The 18,695-nt window shown below is 52.5% G+C and overlaps 1 protein-coding gene across 5 annotated transcripts, besides 4 other annotated features; it reads right to left on the reverse strand.

Annotated features, from left to right (window-relative positions):
• Nucleotides 1–4,182: 4,182 nt before the first annotated feature.
• ZNF579 (zinc finger protein 579) lies at nucleotides 4,183–8,257 on the reverse strand. 5 transcript variants are annotated; one of them, XM_017026411.3, is made up of 4 exons: nucleotides 8,204–8,257; nucleotides 5,408–7,050; nucleotides 4,989–5,139; nucleotides 4,183–4,845 (listed from the first exon to the last, which is right to left on the reverse strand). In XM_017026411.3, the coding sequence occupies exons 2-4, from the start codon at nucleotides 7,046–7,048 to the stop codon at nucleotides 4,784–4,786; spliced, it is 1,854 nt and encodes a 617-aa protein (XP_016881900.1). In that variant the 5' UTR covers nucleotides 7,049–7,050; nucleotides 8,204–8,257; the 3' UTR covers nucleotides 4,183–4,783. The 5 variants fall into 5 exon arrangements, with proteins under 5 accessions (XP_016881900.1, NP_689813.2, XP_016881899.1 ...); XM_017026410.3 differs by having other exon boundaries at nucleotides 4,488–4,840; XM_017026409.3 differs by lacking the exon at nucleotides 4,183–4,845 and having other exon boundaries at nucleotides 4,854–5,139.
• Nucleotides 8,461–8,600: a silencer, noted in NCBI's record as "silent region_11043". NCBI's record gives its function as "represses an Ori minimal core promoter by ATAC-STARR-seq in GM12878 lymphoblastoid cells {active_cell/tissue: GM12878}" and the evidence as "EXISTENCE:reporter gene assay evidence [ECO:0000049][PMID:35858748]".
• Nucleotides 9,312–9,606: a silencer, noted in NCBI's record as "tiled region #13032; K562 Repressive DNase matched - State 8:EnhW". NCBI's record gives its function as "represses a minimal TATA promoter and a strong SV40 promoter by Sharpr-MPRA in K562 cells {active_cell/tissue: K562}" and the evidence as "EXISTENCE:reporter gene assay evidence [ECO:0000049][PMID:27701403]".
• Nucleotides 13,274–13,333: a silencer, noted in NCBI's record as "silent region_11044". NCBI's record gives its function as "represses an Ori minimal core promoter by ATAC-STARR-seq in GM12878 lymphoblastoid cells {active_cell/tissue: GM12878}" and the evidence as "EXISTENCE:reporter gene assay evidence [ECO:0000049][PMID:35858748]".
• Nucleotides 14,771–14,820: a silencer, noted in NCBI's record as "silent region_11045". NCBI's record gives its function as "represses an Ori minimal core promoter by ATAC-STARR-seq in GM12878 lymphoblastoid cells {active_cell/tissue: GM12878}" and the evidence as "EXISTENCE:reporter gene assay evidence [ECO:0000049][PMID:35858748]".

The raw sequence follows: 18,695 nt of genomic DNA on the forward strand, positions 1-18,695 counted from the left end.
GGGAGGGTAAGATTGGCCTGGGTAAGGGTTCGAGGACCAGGTCTGCCAATTTGTAACCGTGATATCTTGGACAAGGAACTTCCTCTCTGCATCCAGAAAATGGGGAGGGTGTTTCCTGCCTCCCCGTGGAGCAGTGAGGATTCATTGAGATCATGTATATACCAGCCAGGGAGAATAATAGCTAAAAGTACCAACAGCAACAACCAACAGCAACAACTTTTTCTCTCCATTTTTTTTTTTTTTTTTTTTTTTTTTTAGCTCTGTCACCCAGGCTGGAGTGCAGTGGCATGATCTTGACTCACTGCAACCTCCACCTCCCAGGTTCAAGCAATTCTCCTGCCTTAGCCTCCCCAGTAGCTGGGATTACAGGCATACGACACCATGCTTGGCTAATTTTTGTATTTTTAGTAGAGATGGGGTTTTACCATGTTGGCTAGGCTGGCCTCGAACTCCTGACCTCAGATGATCCACCCACATCAGCCTCCCAAAGTGCTGGGATTACAGGTGTGAGCCACTGCGCCCGGCCAACAGCAACAACTACTTACCAGGCCCAAGCACTGTCTTCAGCCCTTTCCACTAAGTAACCCATTTAATATGCAAGGCTCATTTCATAGTAGTGATTACTGAAGCAGGACAAATGGCTTCTTTGCTTTAAGCCCCAATCTGGCCCTTCTATAAGTAGAGCTATGTAATTCCCTCGTTTGATGGGTTTTGTCCATGACATTGTATGGATAAGGTGTCTGGCCATGGTAGGCTCTCACTAAATAGGAGCCCACATTAAGATATGGTAATAGGGAGCCACTGATGGTTCCTGAGGAGGGAGTAGCTTTGATGTAATAAAAGCAGACTTCAGCCTCCCATCTCCCCAACACTTGACGCTTGGTTATAGTTTCTCATAGGATCTAGTTCTTTGGGGAACCAGTCTCATTTGGTAACCCTAATCTATTCGTGCCAATATTGGGTTATTGTTCATCTCCTGAGCTGGATGGTTGGTGTCAAAAGAGTGCCTAAGGGGTGTCATCAAATACTAGCCCCAACATCCAGCACTGGGCTTAAACTCAGTGATAAACAGTTGGGACAGGCCAGGTACAGTAGCTCACGACTGTAATGCCAGCACTTTGGGAGGCTGAGTGGGGAGGATCGCTTGAGGCCGGGAGTTGGAAACCAGCCTGGGCAACATAGTGAGACCTCGTCTCTACAAAAGAAAAAAGTAGGCCAGGTGCGGTGGCTCACACCTGTAATCCCAGCACTTTGGGAGGCCGAGGGGGGCGGATCACGAGGCCAGGAGTTCAAGATCAGCCTGGCCAAGATGGTGAAACCTCATCTCTACTAAAAATACAAAAAATTAGCTAGGCATGGTGGTGGGTGCCTGTAATCCCAGCTACTTGGGAGGCTGAGGCAGAGAATTGCTTGAACCCGGGAAGCAGAGGTTGCACTGAGCTGAGATCCCGCCACTGCACTCCAGCCTGGCGACAGAGCGAGACTCTGTCTTAAAATAAAATAAAATAAAATAAAATAAAATAAAATAAAATAAAATAAAATAAATAAAATAATAAAATAAAATAAAATAATAAAATAAAAATTAGCCAGGCATGGTGATACAAATTTGTAGTCCCAGCTACTCCAGAGGCTGAGGCAGGAGGATCACTTGAGCCCAAGAGATGGAGGCTGCAGTGAGCTATGATTGCGCCACTGCACTCCAGCCTGGGCAAAAAAGTGAGACCGTTTCAAAAAAAAAAAAAAAATCAAACAAACTAATCCATACAAGCCGGCACAGTGCTAAGGGCTCAGCCAAGATGTGTGAAATCATTGAAGGTGGAATTATTTGAAGCTTTCGGTGTCATCCTCTCCCACCTTGACCCTCAATCACCATCTTTCTTGCTTCTCTGCCTCCTTTGATCCATCTAGTATTGTTGACGCACTGGGGAAACAGCTTCCCTCTCAGAGCTTCAGTTTGTTGTCCTGGAAAAGGGGGAGGCTCTGCCCCTTTCTTGCTGTTTCTTGTGGGTGTGCAGGTACCTAAGTAGTCAACGTCTTTTTTTTTTTTTTTTTTTTTTTTGAGATGGAGTCTCGCTCTGTCGCCCAGGCTGCAGTGCAGTGTTGCAATCTCAGCTCACTGCAACCTCCACCTCCTGGGTTCAAGCAATTCTCCTGTCTCAGCCTCCTGAGTAGCTGGGACTACAGGCGCCCGCTGCCAAACCTGGCTAATTTTTGTATTTTTAGTAGAGACGGGGTTTCACCTTGTTGGTCAGGCTGGTCTCGAACTCCTGACCTCAAGTGATCCACCCACCTCAGCCTCCCAAAGTGCTGGGATTATAGGCATAAACCACTGCACCCCGCCCATCATTATTTGCATAGGGCAAGAGAGAACCATCGAAGGTGCTGGGGGAAAGCAGGATGTCAAGAGAAGGAAAGAGAAAGGTGTTTAAGGAAGATTAGCTGAGAGATATCCCTCTTCCTTCCACTCCTGGAACCTAAATAAACGGGTAAAAAGAAAACAACTGGGCCAGGCGCGGTGGCTCATGCCTGTAATCCCAGCACTTTGGGAGGCTGAGGTGGGTGGATCATGAGGTCAGGTGGTCACGAGATCAGGAGTTCAAGACCAGCCTGGCCAATATGGTGAAACTCCATCTCTACTAAAAACACAAAAATTAGCTGGGTGCGGTGGCAGGCGCCTGTAATCCCAGCTACTCGGGAGGCTAAGGCAGGAGAATTGCTTGAACCTGGGAGGCGGAGGTTGCAGTGAGCTGAGATCGTGCCACTGCACTCCAGCCTGGGTGACAGTGCAAGACTCCATCTCGAAAAAAAAAAAACCAAAAAAACAAAAAACCAAAAAAACCCAACAACTTGAAGATGTGTAGAAATTGAAACTTCCCACCTCACCTCCAATTACCTGCAGTTTCTAAAATATGTAGTAATGGCCAGGTGCAGTGGCTCATGCTGGTAATCCCAGCACTTTGGGAGGCTGTGGCAGGAGGCTTCCTTGATCCCAGGAGTCCAAGACCAGCCTGGGCAACATAGGGAGACACCATCTCCACAAAAAATTTAAAAATTAGTCAAGCATGGCCGGGCACAGTGGCTCACTCCTGTAATCCCAGCACTTTGGGAGGCCGAAGCAGGAGGATCACGAGGTCAGGAGATCGAGACTATCCTGGCTAACACGGTGAAACCCAGTCTCTACTAAAAATACAAAAAATCAGCCGGGTGTGGTGGCGGGTGCCTGTAGTCCCAGCTACTCGGGAGGCTGAGGCAGGAGAATGGCGTGAACCTGGGAGGTGGAGCTTGCAGTGAGAGGAGATCACGCCACCGCACTCTAGCCTGGGTGACAGAGCGAGACTCCGTCTCAAAAGAATAAATAAATAAATAAATAAAATAAAAATTAGTCAAGCATGATGGTGCACACCTGTAGTCCCAGCTACTTGGGAGGCTGAGAAGAGAGAATCCCTTGAGCCAGGAAGTCGAGGCTGCAGTGAGCTGTGATCGCACCACTGCACTCCAGCCTGGGCAATAGAGCAAGATCCTGTGTCCAAAAAAAAAAAAAAAAATCCTGTAGTACCTACCTCCTAGCCTTTGCCCCTGTTTTTTCTTTGTCTGGTGTTGTCTTCTCACAGATGTTTCTCTCTCATACCTGGTTCCCTCCATCTTCATTCAAATCAAACATCGCCTGGCCAGAGAAGCCCCAACCCCCAGTCCTGCTCTGCCATCATACTGTCTGGTGGTTTACTCTTGGTAGCCCTTATACCTGGTGCTATATTGCATCCTGCTAGGACTTTTTTCAATGATGTAATGTTCTAGATCTGTCCTGTCCAATATGGCAGCCACCAGCCACATGGGGCTCTTTGGCCCTTGAAATAGTGAGACTGAGGCCGGGTGCAGTGGCTCACGCCTGTAATCCCAGCACTTTGGGAGGCTGAGGCGGGTGGATCACCTGAGGTCAGGAGTTCGAGACCAGCCTGGCCAATGTGGTGAAACCCGTCTCTACTAAAAATACAAAAAATTAGTTGGTTGTGGTAGCAGGCTCCTGTAATCCCAGCTACTCGGGAGGCTGAGGCAGGAGAATCCCTTGAACCTGGGAGGTGGAGGTTGCAGTGAGCCAAGGTCGTGCCATTGTACTCCAGCCTGGGCGACAAGAGTGAAACTCTCTCTCTCTCTCAAAAAAAAAAAAAGAGTGAAGAGTGTGACTGAGGAACCGAACTTTTACATTTATTTCATCTTAATGTCTTTACATTTCCATATTCTAAATTTAAACGGAAATAGCCACGTGTGTCTGCTGGATATCATATTGGACAGTGAAGATGTAGAATATCCCATCATCACAAAAAGTTCTCCCAGACTGGGCAAGATAGCAAGACTCCGTCTCTGCAAGAAATGAAACAATCAGCTGGGTGTGGTGGCATGCACCTGTAGTCCTAGCTCCTTGAGAGGCTAAGAGGATTGCTTGGGTCTGGGAGTTTGAGACTGCAGTGAGCTATGACTGCACCACGGCACTGCAGCTTGGGCAACAGAGTGAGGGAAGAAAGATTATGGAAACTTTTCTGAGAAAAAAAAAAAGTTATGTTGGACAATGCAGGGCTAGAATTCCAGCTCTTTCAGAGGAAGGTATTGGACTCCTCCTCAGTGCCTAGTACCACCGCTGACACAGAGTAAGGGTGTGGTAGAGATTGACTGAGTAAGGCGCGGAGCTTCCACAGGGCAGTGGTGAGGATAATCGCGCGGAGCTTCCACAGGGCAGCGGTGACGATGATCTATCTTCTCACATTCCTGTTTCTTCTCAACCCAGCCTTCACCGGCTTCTTGCTTGGTTGAGGGCCACATATTTTCTGATGCATCTGTGTCCTTCCTGCTCTGAACCCAAGTTCAGAGTTGGCTGGACAAATCCTGACTCGCCCCAGCGCCCCCAGCCTGCCCCACCTCCACAGAACACCTCGCTCTCTTGGATTTCACGAACTCACATTTATTCACAGACAGACAAAGGGACAAGGACAGACCTTTGCTCACTGGGGACCCCCAGGGTCTGGCAGTTCCAAAGAGGTGATGGTGTCCAGTGTGTGAAACGGGGGACAGGGAGGCGGGGGCGTCCCCACCAGTCTCCATCCCTCTGGCCAACTGTCCGCCGCCTTTTTTTCCAAGTCGTCCTGCCTTAAGACACATGTTGGGGTGAGCGGTTCCTAACCAGCATCAGGGGTTCTGGGGGCGGGCGATGGGGGAGGAAGGGGCAGTCCAGGGCCCCCCACTCCTTAGTGTCAAGGGCGTGAAGGGGACGGGTGGGTAGACAGAGGAGGTGGCTCCTTCAACTTCCCTCCTCCATTCTGCAAACCGGGGAGCTCAGGCGGAGCGGCGGAGGGCAGGGCGGCGAAGGTCAGGAGGCCAGGCCCCCCAGCCCGCGCAGGTGAGCCTTGCTGTCTACCTCTTCCTCCTCCATCTCGAAGGCTGAGTGGTCTTGGCTGTCGAAACAGGAGGCGCTGAGGAAGACAGGGGGAGCCGGCGGGGACTGGGGTGGGGTCCCCGGAGAGGGCGGCTCTTCCTTAATGTTTGCGAGGGGCAGCGGGAGCCCTTCTTCCTCCTGCTCGGCCTTCAGGGGCGGCGGGGGCGGTGGCGGCGACGTCGGGGCCTGGGCCTGCAGTGCCTGCAGCGCGGCGGCCCTCTCCAGCTCTGCGCGGTGGCAGCGCTGGTGGCGCAGGAGGCTGTAGGCGCGCGAGAAGCGGCGCGGGCAGCGGGGGCACGGGTGCGGGGCTGGGCCCCCCGCGTGCACCTGTGCGTGGCGCGCCAGGTCGGCCAGGCGCTTGAACTCCCGCTGGCAGCGCACGCACTGGAAGGGGCGCGCTCCCGAGTGGGTCACCCCGTGCTGCCGCAGGTGCGCCCGGCGCCTGAAACCTTTGCCGCACTCTGGGCACCAGAAGCGGGGCTCCCCGGCGGGGGGCCGAGCCGGGGCGGCGTCGCCTCCGTTCTGCCCTTCTCCCCCTTCCGAGGCACCCCCGCACTCCGCCCCCTCGCCCCCCTCCGGCCCCTTGGCTGAGTTCCGTGCACCCGAGGCCTTGTCGTCCTTCTTGCCCGCCGCGGGCAGCGGGGCCAGCAGGCTGAGGGGGCCGTGGACGCGGCGGTGCTGGCGGAGGTAGGAGGCGAGGCGGAAGGCCAGGCCGCAGTCTGGGCACACGAAAGGGCGGTCGGTGGAGTGGACCAGCCGGTGGCGCGACAGGGACCAGGGCCTGGCGAAGGCCTTGAGGCAGATGGAGCACTGGTGTCGCTTGGGGCGTGGCGGGGGCCCCCCTTCCCCTTCCTGTTCGCCCTCGGGGCGCAGACACGGGTGCGCCTTGAGCTCGCCCTTGGTGGCGAAGGCTTCGCGGCAGCGCAGACACAGCAGCGTCCAGTCTGCCTGGAGCAGGACCTGTTTCTCCTCCTGCCGCCCGGCCGCCAGCGCCAGCTCGGCCCTCAGCTCTGCTGCCCCGGCCTCGGCCTCCTCCGACTCCGACTCCCGGGGCTCCGCGGCGCTGGTGGGCGCAGCCAGCGTGGAAGGCTCCCCCGCAGGCCACGTCTCAGGCCACGCTGCGACCGCCTCCTCCTCCGTGGCCCCTGCTGCAGCGGTGGTGGGCGGCTCCGAGCCCTCGTCCTGCGGGCCCCAGCTGGGTTCGGCCGTCTCCTTGGCCACCCTCTCGATGGCCAGCTCGACCTCGCCGCCCGCGTGCTCCTGAGCCAGGTGGCGCCTGAGCTGGGCCGGTTCTGGGAAGGTGCGGGGGCAGGCGGCGCAGCGCAGCGGGGGCTGGGGCCCGTGGCCGCGCAGGTGGCGGGAAAGGTGGGCCGGCCGGCGGAAGGCCTTGGGGCACAGCGGGCAGGCGTGGGGCCGGAGCCCCGAGTGGCTCAGCCGGTGCCGGGAGAGGTAGTAGGGGAAACGGAAGAGGCGGCCGCAGGTGGGGCAGGGCAGGGGCGCCCTAGGGGCTCCAGCGCCCCCCCTGCCACGGCCACGGCCCCGACCACGGCCTCGGCCACGGCCCCGGCCTCGGCCACGGTGAGGTGGGCTGCCCTGGGCGGGTGGAGGAGGCTGCGGATCCATGCCTGTGGGGAGAGAGGGGAGAGATGGGAAGCGGGGCAGAGATAAAAAGAGGTGCGTGGGGTGTGGCAGAAAGAGAAGCAGAGACAGTCAGAGATGGAGAGGCAGAGAGGGTCAGGTATTTAGCCAGGAGAGAGATATGAGACAGAGACAAAGATGAGAGACACCGAGGGGAGGCCAGAGATGGAGAGACAGGAGGAGAGAGATCAGAGACAGAGCGACAGAGCAGGGAATAGAGACAGGAGAAGGCAGAGATGGGAGACACAGAGAAGTGGGGATGGACAGACAGAGACCAGGAGTCGCAGAAAGACAGGATGGTGAAAGGCAGAGCAGAGAAGAGACAGAGGAGAGTGAGGAACACCCAGCAGAGAGACAGAGACACAGAGAAGAGGAAACAAAGAGACTTGGAGAACCAGAGGCAGAGATAGTGCAAGAGCAGAGATCAGAAGAGCAGTGGCGGGTTGGGGGCCGGAGAGACAGGGAGACAGAGACACAGAGGGAGTGAACTGGGCAGAGGCACGGAGGGGGACAAAGTCAGCGAACCGCTTCTGCTCCAGGTCCCCCGGCCAGGCTGAACGTTTTGGGAGGGGCTGGGACACAGCCCATGGGGCCTGAGTGGAGGGGGTGGGATTTGAAGCCGGTAGGCCCCGGAAATAGAGTGTGTTCTCAGATGCCAGGGGCTGGGAGAGGTCGGGGAGTAGGAGGGTTCAGACTTCTGGTCTGAGTTGGGAGGGGGCTAGGGGCCCAGACTCTTGGGACTGATGGGGATGGGAGCTGGGGATTGAGACTCCTGGGTCCAGGTCATGACGGATTGGGGAATCTGGACTCTGGTATGGAGGAGGTGTGGATTCCTGGGTCCCGGTGGAGGAGGGGCTGGGGAGGGGGCTGGGCTCCCAGGACAAGGGGGAGGCGGGGGCTGGGGACCCAGCTGCCGGGAATCCCCAGGGAGGAGGCGACTGAGGGCCGGACCCCTGGACTCGGGAGGGAGGCTGGTGGGGGTCGGGGGTCCCAGGTCCTAGAGGGGGGCCGATCTCCTCCGGGCCAAGCCTGCAGCTCCCCGAAGGCATGATCAGCAGAATTGGGGCCGGGTCGAGGCCTTGAGGATTTCTCAGCCCTGGGCCTGGGGCTTGGTCCTGGTCGCTGGGGCTGGGTTCTTACCTCGCCTCCTTGGCTCCTTTCTTCCTTCCCCACGGCCGGCCAAACGCGGACGGTGGTGGCGGGGAGGGAGGGGGGCCTGAGCGTGGTGGGGGGTGGAGGAGGAGGCTGGGCTCGGTGTCACTGCCTAAGCCTTCCCCCCGGAAACCTGGCCTTTCCTCGGAGCCTGAAAGAGGAAAGACTGGCTGGGAAGCCGGAAGCGGGAGGACGGGGGACCTGGAGAGGGGAGGGAAGGCAGCTTGCACTACAGGGTCCTGTGAGGGGAGGGGGCTGGGGGCCTGTCCCCCGGGCTCCCAGAGGGCGGAGGGTGCTGAGGGCCTGGAACACTGGGTCCAGCTACTCCCGGCTCCCCAACATGCACACACACATATTCATTCATTCCTTCAACAAATACACATTTATCAGGTCCTGTCTGTGCCAGGCACTGTGTCAGGCCAGGGGAGTGGCCGGGGGAGGAAGATGAATGAATCAGTGACAGAGGCTTCAGGAAGTACTGGCACTCTGGATCAGAACCTGGCTCCAGCCTTCCCTTGGCTGTCTGGGTGAAGGATTCTCCCACTTCGAGCCTCGGTTTCCCCCTTTGTGAAAGCCCCTGCATATACTCATTCAACCCTAAGCGACCAATATTTACTGAATATCTACTACGGGCCAGCCTGCATATATTTGTCTACATATACGCATATTCACTGGGACCTTAGCAGCCAATGTTTACTGAGCACCTACTATGGGCTGGTGCTGTCCTTGGTGCTGGAGTCACAGTGGCAAAAACCGGAGCTCACTGTCTGATGGGGAAGGCAGATAGATACGGATCAATCACGCTGGAGTGCATGTGGGGGAACGTGTGCTCCGAGGCAGGGAACTGCTATGGGAATGCAGAGAACAGAAGGCACTGAGCTGAGCTCACACTGGGAGGAGGTGATTCCTGAGGTCTTCCTGGAGGCAGCAATGTTTCAGCTGAAATTGGCAGAATGAAACCAACCTGGCGACATCTCAGAAACCTATTCTGGAGCAGAAAAGGCATTTTGCAGGAGTATACCCACAGCTTGACGCTGTTTGTTTAAGGTTACATTCCTGCCAAACAGTGCTAATGAGAGTGCGAGCAAACAGGTCCTTTCATACACGGCTGGGGCAAGTAGAACCTGGAACATTCTTACCGAGCCAGCAATTCCAGGAATTTATTCTTCAGAGGCATCTACTCGGAACTGCACAAAATAATGTCTGCACCAGGTTAATCATTGCAGTACTGCACATCACTGCAAACAGCTGAAACCAATCTAAACACCCATCTGTAGGAGAGCTGAGTAATAAATCATGACTGATCCACCCAGTGGAATACTAGGTGTCCATAGAAAAGAACAAAGAAGCTCACCGTGTGCATATATGGTAAGTCTCCAAGTGATAACCTGTAGAAGAGAAAAATGGAAGGTCAAGTACAGCCTGCAGCCTGTTCTGGGTTTGTGTGTGTTCTGGGATTGTGTCCAGATGAACTGGAACAAGAGAGAAGAAACTGAAACTGGCAACATAGTCTAACTTCCAGGACAGAAATTTACTACACTCTATCCTTGTTTTTTTGTTTGTTTGTTTTTTTTTGTTTTGTTTTGTTTTCTTTTGAGATGAGATCTCCTTCTGTTGCCCAGGCTGGCTGGAGGAAGTGCAGTGGTGTGATCTCGGCTCACTGCAGCCTCGACCTCCCGGGCTCAAGCAATCCTCCCACCTCAGCCTCCTGAGTAGGTGGGGCTACAGGAGTGTGCCACCATGTCTGGCTAATTTTTGTATGTTTTGTAGAGATGGGGTCTCCCTATGTTGCCCAGGCTGGGCTTGAACTCCTGGGCTCAAGCAATCCACCTGCCTCGGCCTCCCAAAGTGCTGGAATTACAGACATTAGCCACTGTGCCCGGCTTTTTGTACTTTTTGAATTCAAAACCGTGTGAATGTGCTATATACTCAAAAAAGTAAAGGAGGCCAAGCATGGTGGCTCACGCCTGTAATCTCAGCACTTTGGGAGGCCCAGGTGGGCAGATCACCTGAGGCCAGGAGTTCAAGACCAGCCTGGCCCACATGGTGAAACCCCATCTCTACAAAAGGTACAAAAATTAGCCAGGCATAATGGCACATGCCTATAATCCCAGCTACTCAGGAGGCTGAGGCAGGAGAATGGCTTGAACCTGGGAGGCAGAGGTTGCAGTGCGCTGAGATCGTGCCATTGCACTCCAGCCTGGGCAACAGAGCAAAACTCCACCTCAAAAAAAAAAAAAAAAAAAAAAAGAAAAGAAAAAAGTAAAGGAAAAAGAAATACATGGGGATTATAAAAATAAATGAAATGAAAAATAATAGCTTACTCTTGTGAGCGTATTACAAATATGATCCCATTTACTCCTTGCTTTATGAAGTAGGTACCATTATTTTTCCCTTTTACAGAGGATGAAAGTGAGATACTAGAAGTTTCCAAACCTAGCGAGTCTCAGTAAGAAGTTTCACTTCACAAACAGATAGGAGAAATGATAGTGGATCAGAAGCATGATTTAAAAGAAATAATAAAAGGCCGGGCGTGGTGGCTCATGCCTGTAATCCCAGCACTTTGGGAGGCCGAGGGAGGCAGATCACTTGAGGTCAGGAGTTCAAGACCAGCCTGGCCAACACGGTGAAACCGTCTCTACTAAAAATACAAAAATTAGCTGGGCATGGTGGTGCGCGCCTGCAATCCCAGCTAGTCCGGAGGCTGAGGCAGGAGAATCGCTTGATCCTGGGAGGCGGAAGTTGCAGTGAGCCGAGATCGTGCCACTGTACTCCAGCCTGCGACAGGGCAAGACTCCGTCTCAAATAAATAAATAAATAAATAAATAAATAAATAAATAAATAAATAAAATAGGAATGGGGTCTCACTCTGTTGCCCAAGCTAGTCTTGAATTCCTGAGCTCAAGCAATCCTTCCACCTCAGCCTCCGAAAGTGCTGGGATTACAGGCATTAACTACCGTGCCCAGACTAGGAGCATGCTTTTTAAAAGCACCTTGTCCATAATACTATATTTTAAAGAATATATACCATGGAATAAAAGTCTAAAAATGTCTGTGGTAATAATAGGCACCAAATTCAAGATATAAGTTATGTTTGAGATAGGAGAGGCAATCAGATCTTGGAGGGGGTGGTCCGCGGGGAGTCATTTGTATCCCTAATATTTCAAAGCTGGTAGTCAGAATATGGGTGTGTGTATTTTAACATGTTTTTTGTAAAATACACTTAAACTTTATAATTGTAACCATTTTAAATCACACAGCTCAATGGCACTAAGTAAATGTTGCACAACTATCCACGCTGTCTAGTTCCAGAACTCTTTTTTTTTTTTTTTTTTTGAGACAGAGTTACACTCTTGTTGCCTAAGCTGGAGTGCAATGGCGTGATCTCGGCTCACCGCAATCTCCGCCTCCTGGGTTCAAGCGATTCTCCTGCCTCAGTCTCCCAAATAGTTGGGATTACAGGCATGTGCCACCATGCCCAGCTTATTTTGTATTTTTAGTAGAGACAGGGTTTCTCCATGTTGGTCAGGCTGGTCTCAAACTCCCGACCTCAGGTGATCCACCTGCCTTGGCCTCCCAAAGTGCTGGGATTACAGGCGTGAGTCTCTTTCTTTCTTTCTTTCTTTCTTTTTGTAGATATGGGGTTTTGCTTTGTTCCCTAGCCTCATCTGAACTCCTGGTCTCAAGCCATCCTCCCACCTGAGCCTCCTAAAGTGCTAGGATTACAGGCGTATGCCACCATGTCCAGCCTAGTTCCAGAACCTTTTCATCAGCCCAAACAAACCCTAAGCCCATTAGCAGTCATTCCCACACTCCCTTCTATCCCCAGCCCCTGTCAACTAATAATCAGTTTTCTGTCTCTATGAATTTGCCTATTCTGGACATTTCATATCAATGGAATAATCATACCATATGTGTTCCTTTGTGACTAGCTTCTTTCACTTTGCATAAAAGTTTCTCCTCCTCCTCCACAAAGGACATTGCCCCCCTCTTTTTAAAAAGTGAGACAGGGTCTTTCTCTGTCGCCCAGGCAGGAGTGCATTGGTGCAATCACGGCTCACTGCAACCTCCACCACCAGGGCTCAAGCGATTCTCCCACCTCAGCCTCCCAGATAGCTGAGACTACGGGCATGCACCACCACGCCTGGCTGATTTTTGTTTTTGGTAGAGATGGGATCTCGCCATGTTGCCCAGTGTGGTCTTGAACTCCTGGGCTCAGATGACCAGCCCACCTCGGCCTCCTGAAGCACTGGGATTACAGGCGTGAGCCACCTCACCTGGCCAGCATAATGTTTCTAAGCTTCATGCGTGCCATGGCATGAGTTGGTTCTTCACTCCTTTTTGTGGCTGAATAGTATTCCTCTGCGTGAGTGCAGTCATCCCTCGGTGTCCGCAGGGGATTGGTTCCAGGACTCTCCTCAGATTCCAAATCCCTGGGTGATCGAGTCCCTTACAGCCTCCTATCTGAGGGTGCAGAACCCACGGATGTGGAGGGCCGCTGTCACCTACATTTTGTTTATCCATTCATTTGTTGATGGATATTTGGGTTGCATCTATCTTTGGGCTATTGTGAATAGTGCTGTTATAAACATTGGTGTGTAAGTTTTTGTTTGAACAGCTGTTTTTAATTCTTTTGGGTATATACCAAGGATGTGTGTACTATTTTATCATCTATATTTTGAAGGCTTGAAAGATGGATGAGGAGGAGAAATAATAATGAATTCAGGAATGGAGGTGATAGAAAAGAAAACTTTAAGCAGAGAGCACAGCACATGGAAGGGGGTTTGCGCTCTGCTTCCCCAGCACATGGCGGGGGATGGGGTTGGGGGTCTTGCATTAGGGCATAAAGGAGGCCAGTGTGGCGGAGAGAGGCCAGAGCTGCACCCAGCGACCGTGCCGGGCCTCCGAGTCCAGGCTGAGCTTGGACTCATTCCGAGTGCACTGAGAAGCCATTGAAAAGGTTTTAAGCAGGAGAGTCACATGATCCGATTAGTGTTTTAGAGAAATTCCTGTGGGACCCGCGTGGAGGCCGGGCCGGATGCTGGGGAGACCGAGGCGGGGAGCCGGGAGGAGGGGGGCGGGGGCCCAGGTGCTAGAGGGGGGGCCTGGGCCCCTCGACCTCCGGCTGGGAAGGCGGCTCCCTGGGCAGGGGGCGGGGCTTGTCGCTGACTGGCTCAGGGCTGGACTCCCCGATGCCAGTCCCACCGTCTCCCCCTCCTCATTGGCTCTCCTGCTTCCAGCCCCCCCCTCTCCCGTGCAGCCTCCAGCACCCAGAAATCATATCACCTCACTCCTGAGCCCAACACCCTCCCGTCCATGGCTCCCCATCTCCCTCGGAATAACACCCAGAGCTTCCCTAATGACCCCCACGTGCACCCCCGTCCTCAAGGCCCTGCTTGCCTGGACCCCGGTGCCTCCCTCCCTTCCTACCTCCCTCTCCGCGTTACATCGCCCTCTCCGCTCTGTCCCGAGTTAGGGCCTTTGCACTTGCGGTTGCCCCGGCCTGGAAAGCCCTCCCGAGGTTTGCATCCAGCTTCGCTTACGTCCCTCACTCCTACAGCTTCCTGGAGACACCTGTCTTGTCCACCCAGGCTAAAATAGCCTCTCGTCACCCTCTGGCCTTCACCTTGCCTTAATTTTCTTTTTTCTTTTCTTTTTTTCTTTTTTCTTTCTTTTTTTTTTTCAGTCAGGGTCTCGCTCTGTCGCCCAGGCTGGCGTGCAGTGATGCAATCCCAGCTCACTGCAACCTCCGCCTCTTGGGTTCAAGCGATTCTCCTGCCTCAGCCTCCCGAGTAGCTGGGATTACAGGCGCCTGCTACCACGCACAGCTAATTCTTTTTTGTATTTTTAGTAGAGACGGGGTTTCGCCATGTTGGTCAGGCTGGTCTCGAACTCCTGACCTCAGGTGATCCTCCCGTCTCGGCCTCCCTAAGTGCTGGGATTACAGACGTGAGCCACGGCGCCGGCCTTTAATTTTCAACATGGTACTTATCACGAACACACACTAGGCAATGTGTGAATGTCCCATGGATTCCCTATCTCCCCTGCCACTAGAATAAAAACTCCACAAGGGAAGGGGCTTGTTTTGCCTGTTTAACGGCTCTGCCCACAGGTGGCTGCCCGGGACAGACAAGGGGCTTAACAAGCATTTGTGGATGAATAAAAAGGGATGAAGGGTGGGAGGAGTGAGGCTGTTCCTGAAAGGAAGAAGGCTCGGGGGCCCGGGGGAGACTCCCGCTCAGGCAAGCGTGCAGGACGCTGGCTGGCTCCAAGGTCTGCACGCAGGAATCAGCTCGCCAAACACAGGCGTGTGAGTCGCCGGCGTCTGGCTAGTAATTAATGTTTTGCAACGGTTGAGATCGTCCTCAGGGTAAAATTCCCGCTCCTGTCCTCTCCTCGCTTCCCACCCCCCCTCCAACCTCAATCAGCGTATCTATAAAATGGGGCCGCTATGTGACGCGTTGGGTGCAGTGTCCAGTCCAGCACCGGGCGCTTGTGAGACACGGAGGAAATGGGATGGGTCCTTCTCGTTACCGCCCCAGAAGAGAAAGGACTGTGGTGCAGGTGAGGTGGGTGGGAACCTCAGCCTCGCGAGGTCCCTATTCATTACTCCCTGGCCGGCGGCCATCTCCATGGCAACGCTGGCGCCTTTCCAGTGCGCAGCTCCGGGGCTCAGCCTGTCTCTAAGCCGGTCTCGGAGTGGGCGGGTCTTGTCCCTGGGGGCGGTGCCTGCTTCGAAGTGGGCGGGCCTTGTTTCTCGAAAGAAGATACTTTTTTTCTCAAACCAGAAAGCATGTCTGGTTTTTGAGTGGCGGTTGCAGAGTGGAGAGGAATATCTCTAAGATTTAGCTGATTTTATTCCCAAAGGTTGAGCTTTTTCAAACAGGCAACAGTGGATCTCCATTCAAAAAGTCTCCCTTGAGTGCTAAACTCTTACTTGTTTTCTCCTCCCAGAATATGTCTTCCTCCTTTAAATTTTCCTTTCTTTTTCTTTCTTTTTTAATTTATATTTTAAATTTTAATTAATTAATTTATTTTTTCAGACGGACGTCTCGCTCTGTCACCCGGGCTGGAGTGCAGTGGCATGTTCTTGGGTCACTGCAACCTCTGCCTTCTAGGTTCAAGCGATTCTCCCGCCTCAGTCTCTCGAGTAGCTGGGATTACAGGCGTGCACCACCATGCCCAGCTAATTTTCGTATTTTTAGTAGAGACGGCATTTCACCATATTGCCCAGGGTGGTCCTGAACTCAAGTGATCCGCCTGCCTCAGCCTCCAAAAGTGCTGGGATTACAGGCGTGAGCCAACACGTTCGGAATTATTTTTTATTTTTGAGACGGGGTCGCACTCTGTCGCCCAGGCTGGAGTGCAGTGGTGCGATCATAGCTCACTGCAACCTCGACCTCCTGAGCTCAAGTGATCCTCTCAGCTCAGCCTCCCAAGTAACTGGGACTACAGGCGTGCACCACCATGCCGGTTTTTTGTTTGTTTGTTTGTTTTGTTTTTGGTAGAGACAGGATCTCACTATGTTGCCTAGGCTGGTCTCGAACTCCTGAGCTCAAGCCATCCTCCTGCCTCAGCCTCTGAAATTGCTGGGATTACAGACATGAGTCAACTCGCCCAGCCTAAAATATCTTCTTTGTGAAATATAAGACACACAGAGAAAAAATGCACAATACAAACACACAATTGAATAAATAATTATAAAATGATCGTCCGATTAAGAACTAGAACTTTGTCGGCTATCAGCAACCGTGGAAACTTCCAGGATATCCCCTCCCGCTTAACTTGTCCAGTCCACTATTCTGAGTTTTATAGGACATTGTTGTCCTTGCTTTTTTATATGGTTTACTACTGACAATGTATCCTTAACAATATTACAGTTTAGTTTTATGTGCATTATAATGGGTTTGCTTTTTTTTTTTTTTTTTTTTTGGAGACAGGGTCTCCCTCTGTTGGCCAGGCTGGAATGCAGTGGAATGATCTTAGCTCACTGCAACCTCCGTCCCCCTACCCCAGGCTCCAGCGATCCTCCTGTCTCAGCCCCCCGAGTAGCTGGGCCTACAGGCACACGCCACCACACCTGGCTATTTTTTGTATTTTTACTCGAGACGGGGTCTTGCCATGTTGCCCAGGCTGATCTCGAACTCCTGGACTCAAGCAATCCTCCTGCCTTGGCCTTCCAAAGTGCTGGGACTATAGGCGTGAGCCACTGCACCTGGCCTCAATGTTATGTAAATGAAATCATGCTCTGTTTCTGGCTTTTTGGGTCCTGTATCTTTGTAACTTTCATTCATGATACTGTGTTTATCTGCAGCTCATTCATTCTTGTTGCCGTATAGTATTCCACTGCATAATATGCCATCGCTAATTATCCACTGTATTGCTGATGGGCGTTTTGGTTGTCCTGAGTTTGGGGTTGAAAGTATTGCTGCTATGAATGTTTTTGTATGTCTCTGGGTGCAGGGGGACTTGAGTTAGCATTTACGCCTAGCAGTAGAATTCCTGCATCACAGGATATATGTATGTTCAATATTTGAGAATGGCAACCTGTGGGGCATTTAATTTAAGAAACTCAGCAGGGTGCAGTGGCTCACACCTGTAATCCCAGCACTTTGGGAGGCCGAGGCGGGCAGATCGATCACCTGAGGTCAGGAGTTCGAGACCAATCTGACCAACATGGTGAAAGCCCGTCTCTACTAAAAATACAAAAATTAGCTAGGTGTAGTGGTGCACATCTGTAATCCCAGCTACTTGGGAGGCTAAGGCATGAGAATCACTTGAACCCAGGAGGTGGAGTTTGCTGTGAGCCGAGATCACACTATTGCACTCCAGTCTGGGCAACAGAGTGAGCCCCTATCTCAAAAACAAACAAAAAAATCTTAAGGAACTAAAGGGGAGGAAACTTTGATTCTCCTAAACTCCTACTTAAATGTGTCCTCCCTCAGTTTTCTGGTCTTAGTAAGAAATGCCACCACTCAACCATTTATTCCTGATTTCTCCCTTCCCATTACACTCACCCCCAACCAATACACACATGCACACAACCAGTCCTCTGCATTCGTACTCCAGAGTTCATCTCCAACCCACCCATTTCTTTGTTTTGTTTTATTTTATTATGTTTAGTACAGACAGGGTCCCACTATGTTGCCTAGGCTGGTCTCAAACTCCTGAGCTCAAGTGATTCTCCCGCCTCGACCTCCCAAAGTGCTGGGGTTACAGGCGTGATTTCTGTTGGTCACTCTGGTTTAGGCTCCCACAAGTTTCTCCTGGACTGCAGGAGCGCTGCACTCTCCTGACTCTGCGTCCTGCAGCTTCGTTTACACTCAGCAGCCACAGGGATCTTGGTAAGATGCAAGGGTGGTCCCTTCCCTCCTCGATTAACACTTTGCTTCCCATCACCCAGAGAACACAGTCAAACACCTGTTTTGGCTTGCCTGGCTTACTGTGATGTGACGTCTACCCACCTGTTAACCTCATCTCATCCTTCCCTCCCTGAGCTCACTTTCCTCCTGTGTCCATTTGGGCATCCTCCTGGCAGGTCCTTGCTCACCCTTACCCTTCAGGGCTCAGATCAAACGCCACCTCCGCCGAGAAGCCCACATGGACCACCCCATCTAAGGTGGCATAAAAAGTGAGTAAGGTGGCCATTCATTTTCTTACCACCCTTCCCTATTGCCTTCAGAATGCTCAGGACGATCTGAAATTATTTTCTACATTTACTTGATTCCTCTTTTCTCCATACCCGTCGCCTACACGACAGAACATAAACCCCAGGAGGGCCGGGATGATCCCCACAGGGAGTTCCAACGCCTGGCTCAGAATAAGCCTTCAGTACGGGAACACAATGCAGTGTGCAGGAGACAGTCTGAAGGCACCCCCACCCCCAATTCTCTGATGAGCGGGTCCTATTCTGGGGGTCTGGTATAGGGTCCAAGGCAGCATCTAAGAGGCGGGGCCTCTGCTCAGACACGCCTCTAATGAGGCAGTTTGGTTTCCAAGGGGTGTGTCCTATAAGATTGGTGACTTCTAAAGGGCGTGTCTAGTTTCTAGGGGGCGTGTCCGTCTGTTGGAGGTGGATCATGTATTTAAGGGACGGAACTCATTTTGATTGATACTGACTCTAATTGTATTTATTTATGAAACAGAGTCTCGCTCTGTTGCTCAGGCTGGAGTGCAGTGGTGCAATATCGGCTCACTGCAACCTCCACCTCCCAGGTTCAAGAGATCCTCCTGCCTCAGCCTCCCGAGTAGCTGGGATTACAGGCATGTGCCATCACACCCGGCTAATTTTTGTATTTTTAGTAGAAACAGGGTTTCCCCATGTTGGCCAGGCACGGTCTTGAACTCCTGACCTCAGGTTATCTGCCTCGGCCTCCCCAAGTGCTGGGATTACAAGCGTGAGCCACCAAGCCCAGCCTAAACCGACTCTAATTTAAAAGGGCATGTACTATTCAAAGCTTTGAAACTTCTCAGGAGAAAA

Source organism: Homo sapiens, chromosome 19, assembly GCF_000001405.40.
Source record: "Homo sapiens chromosome 19, GRCh38.p14 Primary Assembly".
Classification (NCBI taxonomy): domain Eukaryota; kingdom Metazoa; phylum Chordata; class Mammalia; order Primates; family Hominidae; genus Homo; species Homo sapiens.

Excerpts from the sequence above, each read along its gene's own strand:
- ZNF579 (XM_017026409.3), bottom strand. The coding sequence starts at position 7,048 with ATGGATCCGCAGCCTCCTCCACCCGCCCAGGGCAGCCCACCTCACCGT. Across the intron at positions 5,140-5,407 it reads TCGAGATGGAGGAGGAAGAG|GCAGGACGACTTGGAAAAAA; the intron begins GTAGACAGCAAG and ends ATGTGTCTTAAG.